Below are 18,017 nucleotides of genomic sequence, written 5' to 3' on the forward strand. Positions count from 1 at the left end.
GCCTGGCTGGTCTCAAACTCCTGGCCTCAAATGATCCACCCGCCTCGTCCTCCCACAGTGTTGGGTTACAAGCGTGAGCCACCATGCCCAGCCAGCTTACTGTAACTTTTTTACTTCATAAACTTTTAAATTTAACTTGTTGGCTCTTATAATAACCCTTACCTTAAAACACATTGTACAGTGTCCAAAAATATTTTTTCTTTATATCTTTATTTAAAAAGTTTTTACTATTCATGTTTTATTTTCCTTTTTAAGCTTTCTTGCTAAAAATGAAGACATACACTTTGGGAGGCCGAGGTGGGCGTATCACCTGAGGTCAGGAGTTCAAGACCAGCCTGGCCAACATGGCAAAACCCATCTCTACTAAAAATACAAAAATTAGCTGGGTGTGGTGGCATGCACCTGTAATCCCAGCTATTTGGGAGGCTGAGGCAAGAGAATCGCTTGAACCAGGGAGGCGGAGGTTGCAGTGTGCAGAGATCACACCACTGCACTCTAGCCTCAGGGACAGAGTGAGACTCTGTCTCCAAAAAAAAAAGAAAAAAGACATAAACACACACCTTAGCCTAGGCCTACACAGCATCAAGATCATCAATATCACTGTCTTCCACCTTCACGTATTGTCCCACTGGAAAGTCTTCAGGGCAATAACACACATGGAGCTGTCATCTTCTATGACAATAATGCCTTCTTCTGAAATACCTCCTGAAGGACTTGCCTAAGGCTGTTACAGTTAAGTTTTGTTTTTTTTTTTTTGAGACAGAGTCTTACTCTGTCTCCCAGGCTGGAAGAGTGCACTGGCGTGATCAAGGCTCACCCCAGCCTGAACCTCCTAGGCTCAAGTGATCCTCCCACTCCAGCCTCCTGAGTAGCTAGGACCACAGGCGTGTGCCTAATTTTTGTATTTTTTGTAGAGACAGGTTTTCACCATGTTGCCCAGGCTGGTCTCAAACTCCTGGGCTCAAGCAACCCACCCAAAATGCTGGGATTACAGGTGGGAGCCACCACGTTCAGCCAACTTTTATTTAAATAAATAGAAGGAGTATACTCTAAAATAATGATTAAAGGTATAGTATAGTAAATGACTACATAAAAAAAGCAAAAAGCAAAAACAAGTAAATGGCTACGATGTCACTAGGCAATAGGAATTTTTCAGCTCTACTATTATCTTATGGGATCACAGTTGTGTATGCAGTCCATCGTTAACCAAAACATCATCATGCAGCACATGACTGTATAGGTATGTATAACATGGACAGAAACAGACATCTCAGAAAAAGCAAGATACAAAATTTTATGTACATTATGATTAAAACAATACTAAACACTAATTTGAAAAAAGAGTAACAGCAAATAATTAGCTGTGTTTGGTGATGAGATCATTAGTGAAATTTTCTCCCTTTATCTTCCAATCTCTTAGTAATCTTGTATATTGTTTTTTGTAATATTTAAATAAGTTTTACAAAAGTGCTGTTGGTGGCTGGTAGTTGATATTCCTGTTTGTCTTTGTTTATGAAGCTCCCTCCTTCTCTGTGGATACCACGCTTCTTCTTACCCTATATATCTATAACCAACTGTGAGAGAGTTTTTAATGTTTTGACAAAAAATTTTAAAGGTCACACAGAACAATCATAATCTTTTCCACTGATTACTATGATCCCTTTGAATAGTCTCAGCTTGCATGGTCATTTTTACAGTCCCATACTACTATGCAAACTGAGAAATGACTACATATAATATAGATTTACTCTCTATCTTAGTAATTTTCATCTTTATCATTGAGTACTTAAAGGAACGTCTACAATGCACCATAAACCATACAGCAGAATGTTAGAATTTTCACTATAAAACCAAACACGTCATATATGCACACCCATGAAGTGTACAAACAATACATACTAAATTATCTCTTAACACTATTTTTCCTTTTTCTGGTGTTTTGTTGTTGTTTGTTTGTTTGTTTTTGTGATGGAGTCTCGCTCTGTCGCTCAGGCTGGAGTGCAGTGGCACGATCTTGGCTCACTGCAACCTCCGCCTCCTGGGTTCAAGTGAGTCTCCTGCCTCAGTCTCCCCAAGTAGCTGGGACTACAGGTGCATGCCACCATGCCCAGCTAATTTTTATTGTATTTTTAGTAGAGACGAGGTTTCACCATGTTGGCCAGGGTGGTCTCAAACTCTTGACCTCAGGTGATCTGCCTGTCTCAGCCTCCCAAAGTGCTCGGATTACAGGGGTGAGCCACTATGCCCGGCCAAATCTTTAATTTCTAAACTAATTTGGAAAGACAGAAAAATTTGTATCTTCCTATGTGTGTAATCAAAAAATAGTAGTCAAAATATTCATTGCATTTTCACTGTCACTCAATCTTTTGCCAATTATAATCTAATTTTTTTTAGTTTTTGTTTTTAGAGACGGGGTCTCACTCCTGTCGCCCAGGCTGGAATGCAGTGGCACAATCATGGCTCACTACAGCCTCAAATTTCTGGACTCAAGAAATCCTCCAGTCTAAGCTTCCCAAGGAGCTGAGATTACAAATGCGAGCCACTGAGCCCAACTATAATCCGATTTTTTATTTGTATATCTAATTATTAAATAATTTTATATATAATTGCACAATATATATTTTATGAAAAGTAACGGTTTCTAAGATGAAGAAAATCTAACCCCTTCCATGAGTTCCAGTATCTTATTATAACTACACTAAGCTACAATAATAGCTTAATATTAAACATTAATGTTTCTTCGACCTAAGGAAGCTGATTTTTAAAAATAATAAATATTAATTTTAAACACAGTATTAAAGTATTAATAATCAAACAAAGCCACGCAGTGAAATGACATTTGAATTTTGGGAAATTTTCTTTTTTTTTCCTTTTCTTTTTTTTTTGAGACAGAGTCTCACTCTGTCGCTCAGGCTAGAGTGCAGTGAGGCAATCTTGGCTCATTGCAACCTCTGCCTCCCGGATTCAAGCAATTCTCCTGCCTTAGCCTCCCAAGTAGCTGGGATTACAGGTGCCTGCCATCACGCCCAGCTAATTTTTGTATTTTTAGTAGACAGGGTTTCACCATGTTGGCCAGGCTGGTCTCGAACTCCTGACTTCAAGTGATCCGCCCGACTCCACCTCCCAAAGTGCTGGGATTACAGGTTGAGCCACCACACCTGGTAAGAATGTTGGGAAAATTTTTTCATACTAACACATTGGCATATCAGTTATCAGTTGGATAAAAGTTTTCTTCTATATATGAAGTTATAAAATGCCACTGCCCAGAGACAAAAATCTTCTGAAGAGGTATTAGATGAATGGCTGACAACATCGAATAAAAACGCACAAAGAACATTGTCATAATAAACTTTTGATATCCAAAGGGCTACATTTGAGGGGTTATATACCTAAAAGAAACCTTTTTCGGCCAATATTTACATCCCCCTTAAACTCACCTACTACTCTCTCTATATATATGCCCATTAAGATAGGATATCTTCTGAGAACCTGCCTCCAGAAATAAAGTCTTTAAAAAGTTTGGGCCAGGCACGTGGTTCACGTCTGTAATCCCAGCACTTTGGGAGGCCAAGGCAGGAGGATCTCTTGAGGCCAAGAGTTTGAGACCAGCCTGGGCAACACAGCAAGACCTCATCTCTGCAAAAAATAATAAAAAATAATTTTTAAAAGTTTAAAAATATAGCATTTCATTTTTAAAAGTGCCTACAAAAGCAGAAGATTTTAAAACATATAAATGTCACTTGCATCACTAAATACCCACTTAACCTTCGAACAGTCTCTACTCCAATAACACACATAACAAATAAACCCTAGGCCCTTACAGCAATTGGGCTAAGAAAGGTTAAATTTCAGAATTCATAAAGATAGGAGGCATTTCTCATTCTTATGGTAGAGACTACCTGCTGTCGTCTGTGTACATGCTTACAATAATAAAGGCCAACCTTTTATTAATGTTTGCTAATAAATATCCTCCTGATTTTCCATTCCAGCTAAGATTTGATAATATAATTGACTCTTCCGTGTTTTCATCACAAGCAGCACTGTTACAGATATCATTTCCTCTTAATTTATCCACAGGCTGTGTGAATAATTTAGAAAATTATTTTCAAAGGACTCTATCTAGGGAAGTCTTTTGGGTTTTAGAGTAGGGTTCTTTCTATTCTGGTTTTCTGCAGCTGTGGGGTCACTCTATCAGAATTTCATGGTTATACCCTTTGCACAATCTGTAACATTGTTTAAGTTCAAAACTACATACATTATTTCATCAAAATTAAAAACTTTTGGGCATTAAAAGATCCTATCAAGACCATGAAAGACAATCCACAGATATTAATATATCTGTAACCCACAGAAATATTTGGGAGAAAATATTTGTAAATCATATATCTGATGTGAGAATAATATCCAGAATGTATAAAGAACTACAGAACTACAACTCAACAACAAAAAAGCACACATCTCAATTCAAAAATGGGCAAAGGATTGAATAGACATGTCTCCAAAAAAGACATACAAATGACCAATAGCACATTAAAAAAATGCTCATTAGCACTAGCCATTAGGAAACTAAAAATCAAAATGACAATACTATGTCACACCCATTAGGATGGTTATTAATTGAAAGAAAACAAAATAACAAGTATTGGGTAGATATGGAGAAAATGGAAGGAGCACTTGTGCATTGCTGGTGGAAATATAAAACGGTACAGAAGCTGTGGAAACCAGTTTAGCTGTTCCTTAAAGGGTTAAATATAGAATTACCATATGACCCAGCAATTCCATTCCTAGGTTTATATCCAAAAGAAGTGAAAGCAGGACTCAGACAGATATTTGTACACCAATGTTCACAACAACATTATTCACAATAGCCAAAAGGTGGAAACAACTCAAATATGTCCCATCAACAGATGGATGTACAAACAAGATGTAGTATATACAAATTATTCAGTCAAAAAAAGAAATTAAATTCTGCTATGTACTACAACATGGATAAACCTTGAAAACATTATCCTAAGTGAAATAAGAAAGGTCAAATATTGTACGATTCTATTTACATGAAGTATCTAGAATAGGCAAATTCATAAAAACAGAAAGTAGAATAGAGGTTACCAGGGGCTGGGGAAAAAAAGGGATAGAGAATTTCTGTTTGGGATGATGAACAAGTTCTGGAAATGGATAGTGGTGATGGTTATACAATATTGTGAATGTACTTCATGCCACTAATTGTACATTTTTTAAAATAGTTCAAATGGTAAATGGTATGTTCTATATATATATATATTCACAATAAAAATAAAATAAATTGGCAAAGCCAGGAGAAGGTGGGGGAGAGCTATGTACATACCTGAGTTTGTGAAGATCAGACAAAAATTCACATGAACTATTTTGAAAGTCTTTTACAATAATCCTAGTAAGACATAGTTGAAAATATAATACTGATCATGACTAAGCCATAATCCTATTGCAGTCAAAATCATAATTTAGTACAATTTTTTGCTTTCTCAAAGATATGAGAAAAGCTGCATACATGTATTTGTATACTAGAAAAACATACCTTTTAGTAAGGGTTTTACAGCAATGCAAATGTCAAAGTAGCACTGGCATAAATTGAGGCAAATAGTTTTTTAACTAGTAGGAGATAACTGTGAAGGACTTAGTAAATGTGAAAACTTTGAAAAGCTGAAAAATCCACCTGTAGTATTTTGACTTCACTGACATAGGGAAATGCACAAACATCTACTACATTCCAGATTTAGGGACTCAGGATACTAAGATAAACAGAAAAAGTCTACCCTTTCAAAAGTTTAGCTTATCTCTGCCAGGATCACAAGAGGCACTAGTGAAGAACAGACATTTTGGGGGCATTTTCAAATTCTCAAACTGACACAAATACATGAGATGCGCAAAAGTCTTCTAAATTACAGTGTAACCTACAATTGTCTATCTTCTAATAAATTCTTCTAACACATAGAGAACTTCTGTGTAGTGCAGTCCTCTGAGACCTGTAATTATAAACTTCAGTCACATTGCTATAAAATTCCAAATTGGGAGTTTGAAATATGAGCCACATGTTACTTAACGTTCAGAAGACGTATAAATGAGAGCAAAAGGTTATGGCTTAACAGAAAACTAAATAAGAAATAACTATTGATTTTTAAATAGCAACATATCACAATCATACAGACACACCAATGACTGTAACCATATGGTTCTCTCAATCATCAAGCATATGCTAAATTTGTGCTTAAAACAGTCCAATGTGGTTTTAAAAAAAGGTTACTCTTCAGCAGCTTTCAATCTAGTTGGGAGAGTAAATTAATACACATAAAACATGTGTTATTTATGTACATATATATGTAAAAATACTCAAATACAAAGGATCCAAATGTAAGAATTCAAAGGAGATAAGTAAGTTCAGGAAAGCTCCAAAGAAGGTAAGATTTAGGCAAAGTCCAGAAGGATAGACAGAATTGAATGGAAATGAACCCTTCATAATCTAACTTCATCTTGCCTTTCCAACACATTGTACAATACAAAATTATTAGAATAGATAAAAGCAGTCTATGGCCATACCAACCTGAACATGCCAATCTCATCTGATCTCAGAATAAAAACAAATTAGAAAAGAAGCTAGGTGCAGTGGCTCACGCCTGTAATCCCAACACTTTGGGAGGCTGTGGTGGGTGGATCTCTTGAGCTCAGGAGTTCAAGACCAGCCGGGGCAACATAGCAAAACCCCGTCTCTACAAAAAAACACAAAAATTAGCAGGGCATAGTGGTGCACACCTGTAGTCCCAGCTGCTAGGGAAGCTGAAATAGGAGGATGGCTTGACCCTGGGGAGTTGAGGCTGCAGTGAGCAGTAAATGTGCCACTGCACTCCAGCCTGGGTGGCATAAAAAAGTCATTCCAGATAAGAGAAATCACAGAAATATGAAATAAGAAGAGCATAATAATTAGCCCACTTAATGCTTATTGTAGAGAAGTGGTTAAATATTTTACATAGGAATACACATGTCAAATTATATAAATTACATGGGAGAAAAAAAGCTCCTAAAATTGCATGGAATTTTGACATGACTTTCCAATGTACCCTATTCATACCCACTACTCATTTGCTATTTGAGAGAAATGTCTCAGAACCAGTCAAACCAAGGCTCACCTTCAAAACCAGGTGGGCACCCAAATTATAATAAGAATTAGAAATTTGTGCTTGTCCTTGCATATAAGGCTGTGTTTCATTTTTCCTTCATATTTACTACTGATTGCTTCATGAATTCAGATAATTTCAGAGCCAGGAGGCATTATTTATAACCCAAATTTTAAATGTTTATATTCCTGAAACATTTGAATATTTGCATAAATGTCATGAGACAAAATTTACTCTAGAAAGCACAATTTACCAGATTACTGCTGCTAGTTGTATTCTGTCAGCTTTCTCCTTTAAGGAGAAAGCACAGCAGCACTAGGTAGTCCCATTTATTACGTCAACATTTTAATAAGGCCAGGCACTGTAGCCCACACCTGTAATCCCAGCACTTTGAGAGGTCAAGGCCAGAAGATTGCCTGAGTTCAGGAGTTCAAGACCAGCCTGGGAAACAACAGTGAGATTCCCGTCACTACAACAAAATAAAAAAATTAGCCAGGTGTGGTCCACACATCTGGAGTCCCAGACACTTGGGAGGCTGAGATGGAAGGATTGCATGAGCGCAGGAAGTAGAGGCTGCAGTGAGCCATGATCGCACAACTGCACTCCAGCTAGGGTGACAGAGGGAGACCCTGTCTCAAAAAAAAAAAAAAAAGGTTTTTATCTGTCCCTTGGACTATTTGCCTCCTACTCCTCCAATTCATTCTTTGTATTTCCAATAGAATAATCTTTGAAATGCACCTCTAGTCATTTTACTCAGGTGCTCTTCTTCAGTGGAAGGTACGTATGCCCTATGGTTTGAAGTCAGTCGTTTCAGCATGGCAAGCCCTAGTAGTTTCTATGATTTGGTCCCTGTCTGAACACTGTGTACCCTTGCAAATGTTGCTTTCTAGATCTTGAAATGTTCTGCATTTCCACAGGTTCCCCCTCTTATCTCTCCTATTACTTACGTAAACTGTACAAATCTTACTATATAGCTTGACTGAATTTTTAGGGATGCATCCAAGGAATTATCCTGCAAAATTAAGATACAGAACATTTCCAGCACCCCAGTAGGCTCTCTCCTGTTCTCTCCCAGTCGATACCGACCCTCAGAGGTCACCACTATTCTGTCACCATAAATTAGTTTTGCCTATTTTGGAACCTCATATATACAGTAATGCAATATTTACTTTTTTTGTGTGTATGTGTGCATGGTGAACTCATTTTTAAGACCAAATTTTATGCATCTTCTCTGTGAAGCAAAACCCTGACAAGATTTAGTGTCTTGAAATTAGGGCCAGTGTATGATTTCTATTTCCAGAGGCTGGCATAGTGAGATAAGCTCACCGGCAAACTGCCATGTATCTTTCCCCTCGAACTACCTGCCTTGCCAGATCCTTATCTGTCAAAACTAAGCCCAGATGTCAAGTTCTCTCAGAGGCCTCCGCCAGCCAGCACAGTGGCTCATGCCTATGATCCCAGTGCTTTGGGAGGCTGAGGCTTGAGGCCAGGAGTTTCAGACCAGCAACACAGTGAGGCTTCGTCTCTGCAAAATTTAAAAAAATTAGCCAGGTGTGGTGGTGCACACCTGTAGTCCCCACAATTCGGGAGACCTGAACCACCATGCCCAGCTAACAGTACCATTTTCATAACAAGCCCTGTATTCCCATCTGATTCTAAACTATGTGCATATACCATTGTAATAAAAACAAAAACAAAAGACTAAGAAAAGAGGGAGGGAAGCATTAGCCATGGAATATAAGAGAAAAAGAGTCTTAGACCAAGAAAAAAAAAGTTAATCATAAAATTTAATTTAAAATCACCTGGATTATTTAGAACCAAGAGAGAGCTCTGTGTGTTGAATTTTATATAACTCTGTATAACACTTTAAGCAAATAACTTTCTAACTCTAACTTCATATATGGCAGTAGGATAATACTTGTCATCATAAATGAAAAGTACATGAAGGTCATCATATAAAAATGATTATTTCAGGAATAAAATTATTAAATTTTATACATAACCAAAAGACATTCTCAAGTGTTCATAAGTACAATACTTACCCCATACTAATCTCACAGGAATTTATTTATCAGCTTCAAATATTTGAACTAAACAGACAAAACTACATACTATATTTAGGACTATTTATTTTTAACTATCATTTAAAACTTTAAGCACAGGCCGGGCGCGGTGGTTCACTCCTGTAATCCCAGCACTTTGGGAGGCCGAGGCAGGTGGATCACGAGGTCAAGAAATGAAGACCATCCTGGCCAACATGCTGAAACCCCGTCTATATTAAAAATACAAAAATTAGCTGGGCGTGGTGGCTTGTGCCTGTAGTCCTAGCTACTCAGGAGGCTGAAGCAGGAGAATCGCCTCAACCCAGGAGGTAGAGGTTGCAGTGATCCCAAGGTCGCACTCCAGCCTGGGAAGCGACAGACATCGTCCCAAAAAAAAAAAAAAAAAACTTTAAGCACAAACTTTTTAAAAGCTGCTGAAAGGAAAAGAAATTTTGAGGTGGATACATATAGTATAACTCGATTCCTGTCTTTATTTTTTACCCCCCGATCTGACAAACATGAAAGCTCTCCACAACTTCTCTCCATTATTTATACATTTATACATTCATCCAGACATCCAATATTTACTGAGCACTTAAAATACATTAGGCACTGCACCTATCCTGACACTGGGGATTCAGCAACAGACCTGACAATAAACGTGATAATTACGTATTATGATAAAGGCTGTACACAAACTGTTCAGAATATTGCACAATAGTGATAGACAAATACCACTTCATATGAGGTGATAAAGGAAGGCGTCCTTGAGGCCATCTGAGCTGTGGCCATCAGATATGAGAATGAGCCAGACATGTAAAAATTCATAAATAGTCTTTCCAGGATGAGAGAAAGTAGCAAATGCAAAGGCTGCAAGCCAGAATAGGTTCCAAGAACAAGAAGATGGCTAGTGTAGCTAGTGTACAGGAGGCAAGGGGTAAATTACTACAATTGAGGTTGGAGTTTTAAGCAGGAACCAAATTATTTACAGCCTTGTAGACCACTATAAAGACTACATTTTTAAAAATTAATTATAGACTTTAAAGAAAGGAATAACAAGATCTGGTTTGGATTTTAAGAATACACTGACTGTGTGAAACTAGGAAACTACTGCACAGTGTCTTGGAGCAAAAGATGATGGCAGTGGGGACTAAAGTGGAGGCAATTAAGCAGAAGCTAACAGACTAAACTCAATACCAAACTAATAAAACTTGGTGACAGATTCTAACTGGAGATAAGGGGATATGGTCAGAAAGTGAGAGAAAGGGAGGAACTGAGGATATGTCTAGATTTTTCAGTTTAGTACTTGTGTTGCAATAGTGATGCCATTTGCTGTCATGGGAAAGACTAGTGGAGGCCTATCTTGTTAGAAAGATCCTTTTCATAATGTAATCTCTCCAGACCCTTTCACGAGTCATCACCAAAAGGCAACCATAGCAAATGTTAAAAGGCTTTTGCCACAGGGATAAGATGCTGGGGCAACCAAGCTTCTTTACAGAAATGAAAGACACTGGACAACTTCCTCTGTAAAATCCCACTTTAGCATAGTTTTGCTTTTAATGCGGTCCAGTGTCTAGTACCCCAACAAACATGTTATAGGCAAGGTTTCAAAACATCAGTTTTCCTGAATCTTATTCACAAGATAGTGATGAGCGCCGCCCTAGGCCAGGCACGGTGGCTCATGCTTGTAATCCCAGCACTTTGGGAGGCCGAGGCGGGCGGATCACCTGAGGTCGGGAGTTGGAGAACAGCCTGACCAATATGAAGAAACTCCGTCTCTACTGAAAATACAAAATTAGTCGGGCATGGTGGCACCGTGCCTGTAATCCCAGCTACTCGGAGGGCTGAGGCAGGAGAATTGCTTGAATTCGGGAGGCGGAGGTTGCAGTGAGCCGAGACTGTGCCATTGCACTCCAGCCTAGGCAACAAGAGCAAAACTCCGTCCAAAAAAAAAAAAAAATCCCTAAAATAAAGAGCCTGGCTGGGCGTGGTGGCTCACGCCTGTAATTCCAGCATTTTGGGAGGTGGAGGCGGGTGGATCATTTAAGGCCAGGAGTTCAACACCAGCCTGGACAACACGGCGAAACCCCATCTCTACTACAAAATACAAAAATTAGCCAGGTGTTGTCAGGCCTCTGAGCCCAAGCTAAGCCATCACATCCCCTGTGACCTGCACAATACATTCAGATGGCCTGAAGCAACTGAAGAATCACAAAAGAAGTGAAAATGGCAGGTTCCTGCCTTAACCGATGACATTCCACCATTGTGATTTATTCCTGTCCCACCTTAACTGAGCGATTAACTTTGTGAAATTCCTTCTCCTGGCTCAGAAGCTCCCCCACTGGGCACCTCGTGACCCCCGCCCCTGCCTGCAAGAGAAAAACCCCCTTTGACTGTAATTTTCCACTACCCACCCAAATCCTATAAAACAGCCCCATCCCTATCTCCCTTCGCTGACTTTCTTTTTGGACTCAGCCCGCCTGCACCCAGGTGATTAAAAACCTTCATTGCTCACACAAAGTCTGTTTGGTGGTCTCTTCACATGGACGCGCATGACAGTGTGGTGGCACACGCCTGTAGTCCCAGCTACTTTGGAGTCTGAGGCAAGAGAATCGCTTGAACCAGGAGACAGAGGTTGCAGTGAGCCAAGATTGCGCCACTACACTCCAACCTGGGTGACAGAGCAAGACTCTGTCTCAAAAATAAATAAATAGGCCAGAAGCAGTGGCTCACGCCTATAATCTCAGCACTTTGGGAGGCCAGCGTAGGTGGATAACTTGAGGTCAGGACTTCCAGACCAGCCTGGCCAACATAGTAAAACCCTGTCTCTACTAAAAATACAAAAATGAGCCGGGCATGGTGGTGGGTGCCTGTAATCCCAGCTACTTGGAAGGCTGACGCATGAGAATAGCTTGAACCCGGGAGGCAGAGGTTGCAGTGAGCCAAGATCACGCCACTTGCACTCCAGCCTGAGCAATAGAGACTCTGTCTCAAAAAAAAAAAAAGAAAAAGATAATTAAAAAAAATTAAAAAGAGCCTTATGTTAATGAATACTAAGTCCCTAATAAAGAGGGGTGTTAAGGAAAGGTCTTGAATTCTGGTCATCTTTGAATAGATACATCTTAGGATACATCTCTGACTATAAAAGAAAATTCTATTCTATTGCTGCATAACACACACACACACACACAACACAAAAGAAACAAACGGAAAGAACAATAAAGGAAACACTTGAAAAGCTAGTTTTTACCAGGCTTTTGTGCCAATAATTAACTACATACCTCTAACTTCCAAGAGTTCTTTATTATTAAATGAGAGGACTTATTGGAATGCAGAAAGACATTAAACTGCTCAACTTAAACACAAATATGTCATGAGGCCCAAAAAGCAAAAGCAGAAGCATAAACAAGCTCTGAAAGGAGAAGCCATGCTTCCCGGATACAGTATAAAAAGAACTGTCAGTCCCACCTTAATCTTCTCAGTACACTATCCAACTACTAATTTTTAGTTCATAAATTAAAAAAAAAAAAAAAAAAATCCCTCCACCACTGCAGCTGTTTAACATTAAAGCTTCTAATTCAAACTCTCAGCATTACTCTGGTGCTGCAAAAACAGATTTTTCTCTAGTGACAACAAAAATAATAATCACTTCTCTAACTTTTCCAATGATCCAAGCATGTAATCCAGTGCCAAAAATCTTCCTTTTCTCGTCCTGAGAAAATATCTGGCTATGGGTTGGGCATCACAATCCCAACTCTAACTTCCTTACACATCTTTCTGGAAGGCAACCCTGAGTGCTGTCACTGTAAAGTCTCACTAAGCACAAAGAGAGACAATGAACAAGGAAAAACAAACAAGAGCTGTCCAGTTTGGTAAATGGGGAGCTCACTAACCAGCAAGTGATGTCCCCTCATTTTGCTCATCCCCCAAAATCCAGAGTTCATCAATATATTTATCTCCTCTTGTCAGAGACACACCAAACCTACGAACTAAAGATTAGTGAGGTGAAAACAGTGAAATTAGTGAAACAGTGAGATTAGTGAAAACAGCACCTTTGTAATCACTCAGGTGACTACATATAAGCAGACTACTTAAAAACTGCCCCATTTTTCTCCTTTACAAATAGTAAGATCTGGTATACTTTTAAAAGGCTTAACCGAAACCAACAATTCCAAACTAATGCTAGAAAGTTCACTGGTGAATTTTAAAAATTCATAGGAAGGCAAATAAGTGCTTTAATAAGGGAGATAAATACGCATCCCAGAAGGTACTGACTGTGAAATTCAATTTCCGTGTATAGAATGATACATTATGCTAAACGAACTAACATCACATCATAGGTAGTATAAATCTAACGAAATTTTAAGATTAATACTGAGAAATTGGTGAACAAAATCTTAGTTGGGAGTCAATGTTTTAAAGCATCTTAGATTTGGTGGATAAGCAAAATGAAAAGTACTGAATTATCAACTGTTACATGCTTAATTATTCCACTAGCAAACACAACTACCTATAAGTGACTAGGAAATTAAATCCTTTAACACTCAATTATTGAGCATATACTATAAAATGAGCACAGTGCTAGCAGCACTTCTAGGCCATCAGAGACACCCATACACACTCTGTATTTCCGTAGCACTTTCTCCTATAGCACTGCAGCACTTAATATACCATAAGCTAATCATTTATAAATGATATGCATATATACTACTTTTGAACATATTATGTGCATTATTAAACATACACAAGTTAGAACTATAAACAGAATTTCTAGTATTTTATTCGCATCCTCTATGAATAGGCTTACATTCTTTGATACAACTTACAATGAGATTACCTCCCAATAAACCCATCATAAGTTGAAAATATCATTAAGTCAAAAATGTATTTAATACACCAAATTTACTGAACATAACTTAGCCTACCTTAAACATGCTTAGAACACTTACATTAGCATACTGTTGGACAAAATAACACAGTAATGCATTGAAAATCTCATGTAATTTATTAGTGTACTGAAATATTAATACTATGGTTATTAATACTAAATATTAATACTTTACTGAAATATGATTTCTACTGAACGCATATAGCTTCTGCACCATCGTAAAGTTAAATTGTAAGTCGGGGATTGTCTATATACACTTAGTGGAGATCACTGACCCAAGCTATATGATCCTAGAGAGAGGGGTCTTGGTTATCCATTTCCTTAGTGCCTAATTCATACCCAGCCTTCAGTAAAAATCTGCTGAATTAATGAGCAAAAGGACATTTTAAAATATGAATCCATAACATAACTTTTTGACACACTATAGTTCATCACTCAGCTACTAAGAGCAATATAAATGCCAGATTTTAAAGAAAGGGATTAGAAGAAATTCACCCACTGTATTTTATTACTACAATTTAAAAGTTAAGAATCATTTTAATTCAGCCGATTCTTACACACACACACACACACACACACACACACACACATCGCCTTATAATCCTGTTTCCAGAAAGATGAAAGGAAGGACAGAGAAGCAGATAAGACAGAAGAATTAAAAAACTGGTGAAGATTTTTAAGATGTCTTAGAGTTCTAAAAGGATCTAAAATGCAACTCATCTTTCACCGAACGGTTTTTGAATGCTGTGTTCCAAGCATTTAAAACACGTTTTTAAGAATACACAAGCCACAAACTTAGATGCAACAAGGAGGTGAAATAAAGAGATGAAGAATGTGCTGCTCAAATTTCCAGTATCCATGAAGTACAAGTGTACTTCCTTAGAAAACACACGCAATATAAACAAGAGTCAAGGCTTTCCTTGTGTTTTACTCAAAATATTTAAGAAAGATAGATTCAAGCCAAAAAATAAAAGCTACCAGTAATACATCTCCCTAACAGTGTTTAAATGTACACTTTTAGAAAACGTTAAGGTTTAGACAACTGACAAACAGTCTAGCTAAAATAGTGTGCAAAAACCAATCTTCCTAATTTCTAGGTGCTTCTAAAATGTAACTGAAGTCACTAGACTGCCCTTCCACTCAGGCCCAGTAAGTGTTATCTGTCATTAACATAACACTTCGTTTCCAAGGCCCCGCTTTGCAAGATAAACTGCCTGCAATTCCATGTTTGTATGTGGTAATATATGCCTATTTTTTTAAATACTACCTGTGTCTAGGCATTATTTAGCATTCAATAATTTTAAGTAAAGCCAAGGAGGCAAGTATTTCTGTAGTTTTGTCAAGCTTGTTTTGCACACACTGGACTAATGTGTGTTTGTCAAATCCTATCTACCCTTTCCCCCATTCATTTTATACAATATAAACAAGTAGATGAAACCAATGAATGCAGGTTTTACCAACTGTTTATATTATTCAAGTGCCCAAAAGAGGTTCCAAGACATTTTTAGCTCTATCAAAAGATTCTGGGGACAGCCGCAGTGGCTCACCTGTAATCCCAGCACTTTGGAAGGCCGAGGCTGGTGGATCACCTGTGGTTGAGAGTTTGAGACCATCCTGGCTAACATGATGAAACCCCATCTCTACTAAAAATACAAAAAATAAGCCAGGAGTGGTGGCATGCGCCTGTAGTCCCAGCTACTCGGGAGGCTGAGGCAGGAGAATGGCTTGAACCCGGGAGGCGGAGGTTGCAGTGAGCCAAGATCACGCCACTGCACTCCAGCCTGGGCGACAGAGCGAGACTCTGTCTCGAGAAAAAAAAAAGCTTCATAAACTTTTTTTGTAATCTTAAATTCTATATTAAAGTCTGACATTTACTAAATGGACCATGCTTAAAGAAGGGGGCTTCTGGTTTACATTTAGAAATACAATTTTATCAACTTGCTGCTCTCTTTTGCTTTAATTTTCCTCTAAAGCAAACTGGTAAAACATAAATTCATGCCGGCCGGGCGCGGTGGCTCATGCCTGTAATCCCAGCACTTTGGGAGGCCGAGGCGGGCAGATCACAAGGTCAGGAGATCCAGACCATCCCGGCTAACACGGTGAAACCCCGTCTCTACTAAAAATACAAAAAAATTAGCCGGGCGTGGTGGCGGGCACCTATAGTCCCAGCTGCTGGGGAGGCTGAGGCAGGAGAATGGCGTGAACCCGGGAGGCGGGGCTTGCAGTGAGCCGAGATCGCGCCACTGCACTCCAGCCTGGGCAACAGAGCAAGACTCGTCTCAAAAAAAAAACATAAATTCATTCCAATAGTTACAAATAAGCTCTTAACAAAGATTTTGCTATCTCTTCAAATACATGTGTTTTAAAATTCAACAGGCAGACACTGTATAAGAAATTAAACAAAAACCTTCCAGTCAGATCAGTTTAAAATGCAATTAACTTCATTTGTATTTACAAACGTACCATCTTAGTTTGATAGGAGATTAAGCAGGCTAGAGCTGAATACAAGTTTAATTTTGGAATTTCTCAATGCCAGGTACATCACTAGTATTCACACCCTCAAACTTAAGAAACACTTCTGAACCTTGAAGCTGTAAATCAGTTTGACTAATGTCCTCTTTCATGCCATGTAAGCCATTGCCTAATTGAGGCCAGACCTGTCAGGCTCAACAGCATCCCGGAAATGACTAGCCTACTAGGGCTGGAAACACATCAAGAATTTGGAATATTTCTCATATTGGGGCAGACAAAAAAAGTTCAAATGAGATTGTCCATAAAAACAATTATTATACTGTTCCACAAGGGAAAAAGAAAGAAAGACATAAAAGGCATATCTGTGTTATTCTGGTAAATCCACCACCACCAATACATCTCAATTCTGTATCTTACTGTCAGGTGATGGTCAACTGAACTTACCCACTTACCCCTCTTCTTCCTATATACGAACAAGAGTTCACTTCTCAAGCCTCATTTTGAATACCCGTCTTTTAATCTAATTACCATTTTATATCCTTAGCTACTAAAACCACCTGGAGCATGGCTGATTTCTTGACTTGGAAACCTGTTAACAATAATGCCTAGCTCCTAATCTTCTTAATGTTTTTTCACTTCTTACCAAGAATATCCATTAAATGTCTAAAAGAAATACAAGCATACACAGATCTACACACACTGAAATCCCAGTCATGAAAAATTAAGACATTCCGGCCATAAACTGTGCAACAAGACACTTCCAGTTAGTGTGTGCTTTAGTGATCATGGACAGCGGTATCAGAGTGAGTGGTAGGGGGTTGGGGCTGCCAACAATATACTGTGCCTCAGAGCCAATAAGCAGCAGGCCGGGACTGGCAGCCAGGCCAGTCTCTAAAGGGAGATTTAACACAATATCTGAATGCTGGACTTCCCAATGCCATTTCATGGAGAGGGATGGAGCGAGAACTGGGCATCAAGTGCAGTCAAAGGCTTTGGTCAACGTCGGAGGAGATGAAACCTAAGACAAGGTCTGGTGCCAACGCCAGCTGTCCAGTCTCATCTCACCTCAAACACAACTTCATTTCAGATCGTTCTTATCAAAGTCAGCCGCTCAAACGGTGAAGGGTGGCAGAAGCGGATGGCCACAGCCCTCAAGAGACAGGCATAGGCTCTGGGAAAAGGCAGGGACTCCCCAGATACGAAGGGGCTTCCAGTAGCAGAGAGGAGCGCTTTGCAGCCGCCTCCTCGTCCCCTTCCAGCTAAGGCTGTTAGGAACGAGGTTAGGATGTTATTTGAGGTTTTTATGAAGGAATGATAGGAGAAAATGGCAATGAAGGATGAGGGGGGCTGGATGGGCTGGAGCCGCCCAAGAAAACGGGGAGAGGACTTCCCTGGACACATCCAGGATCACAACGCCACCAGCGAGCACGGGCACTGCCCTGCCAGCGCCGATCCCCCTCTCTCAGG

General features: G+C 39.1%; 1 protein-coding gene across 8 annotated transcripts in view, besides 1 other annotated feature; it reads right to left on the bottom strand.

The window, feature by feature from the left end:
* The window catches only part of USP32 (ubiquitin specific peptidase 32), a 245,090-nt gene that overhangs the window by 196,330 nt on the left and 30,743 nt on the right, over nt 1-18,017 (bottom strand). The window contains exon 1 of one of the 8 annotated variants that reach the window (XM_011525375.2): nt 3,438-17,971. The exons of 6 other annotated variants lie outside the window; for them this stretch is intronic. In XM_011525375.2, the coding sequence (XP_011523677.1) occupies nt 3,438-3,465 (28 nt within the window). In that variant the 5' untranslated portion in view covers nt 3,466-17,971. Of the gene's footprint in view, nt 1-3,437; nt 17,972-18,017 lie in introns of those variants that run through there. One more of the 8 variants, XM_047436943.1, reaches the window with a different exon arrangement.
* Nucleotides 11,880-12,691: an enhancer, noted in NCBI's record as "NANOG-H3K27ac-H3K4me1 hESC enhancer chr17:58462897-58463708 (GRCh37/hg19 assembly coordinates)". NCBI's record gives its function as "activates a minimal SCP1, AML or CMV promoter by ChIP-STARR-seq in primed H9 embryonic stem cells {active_cell/tissue: H9 hESC(primed)}" and the evidence as "EXISTENCE:reporter gene assay evidence [ECO:0000049][PMID:30033119]".

This window comes from Homo sapiens, chromosome 17 (genome assembly GCF_000001405.40).
Source record: "Homo sapiens chromosome 17, GRCh38.p14 Primary Assembly".
Classification (NCBI taxonomy): domain Eukaryota; kingdom Metazoa; phylum Chordata; class Mammalia; order Primates; family Hominidae; genus Homo; species Homo sapiens.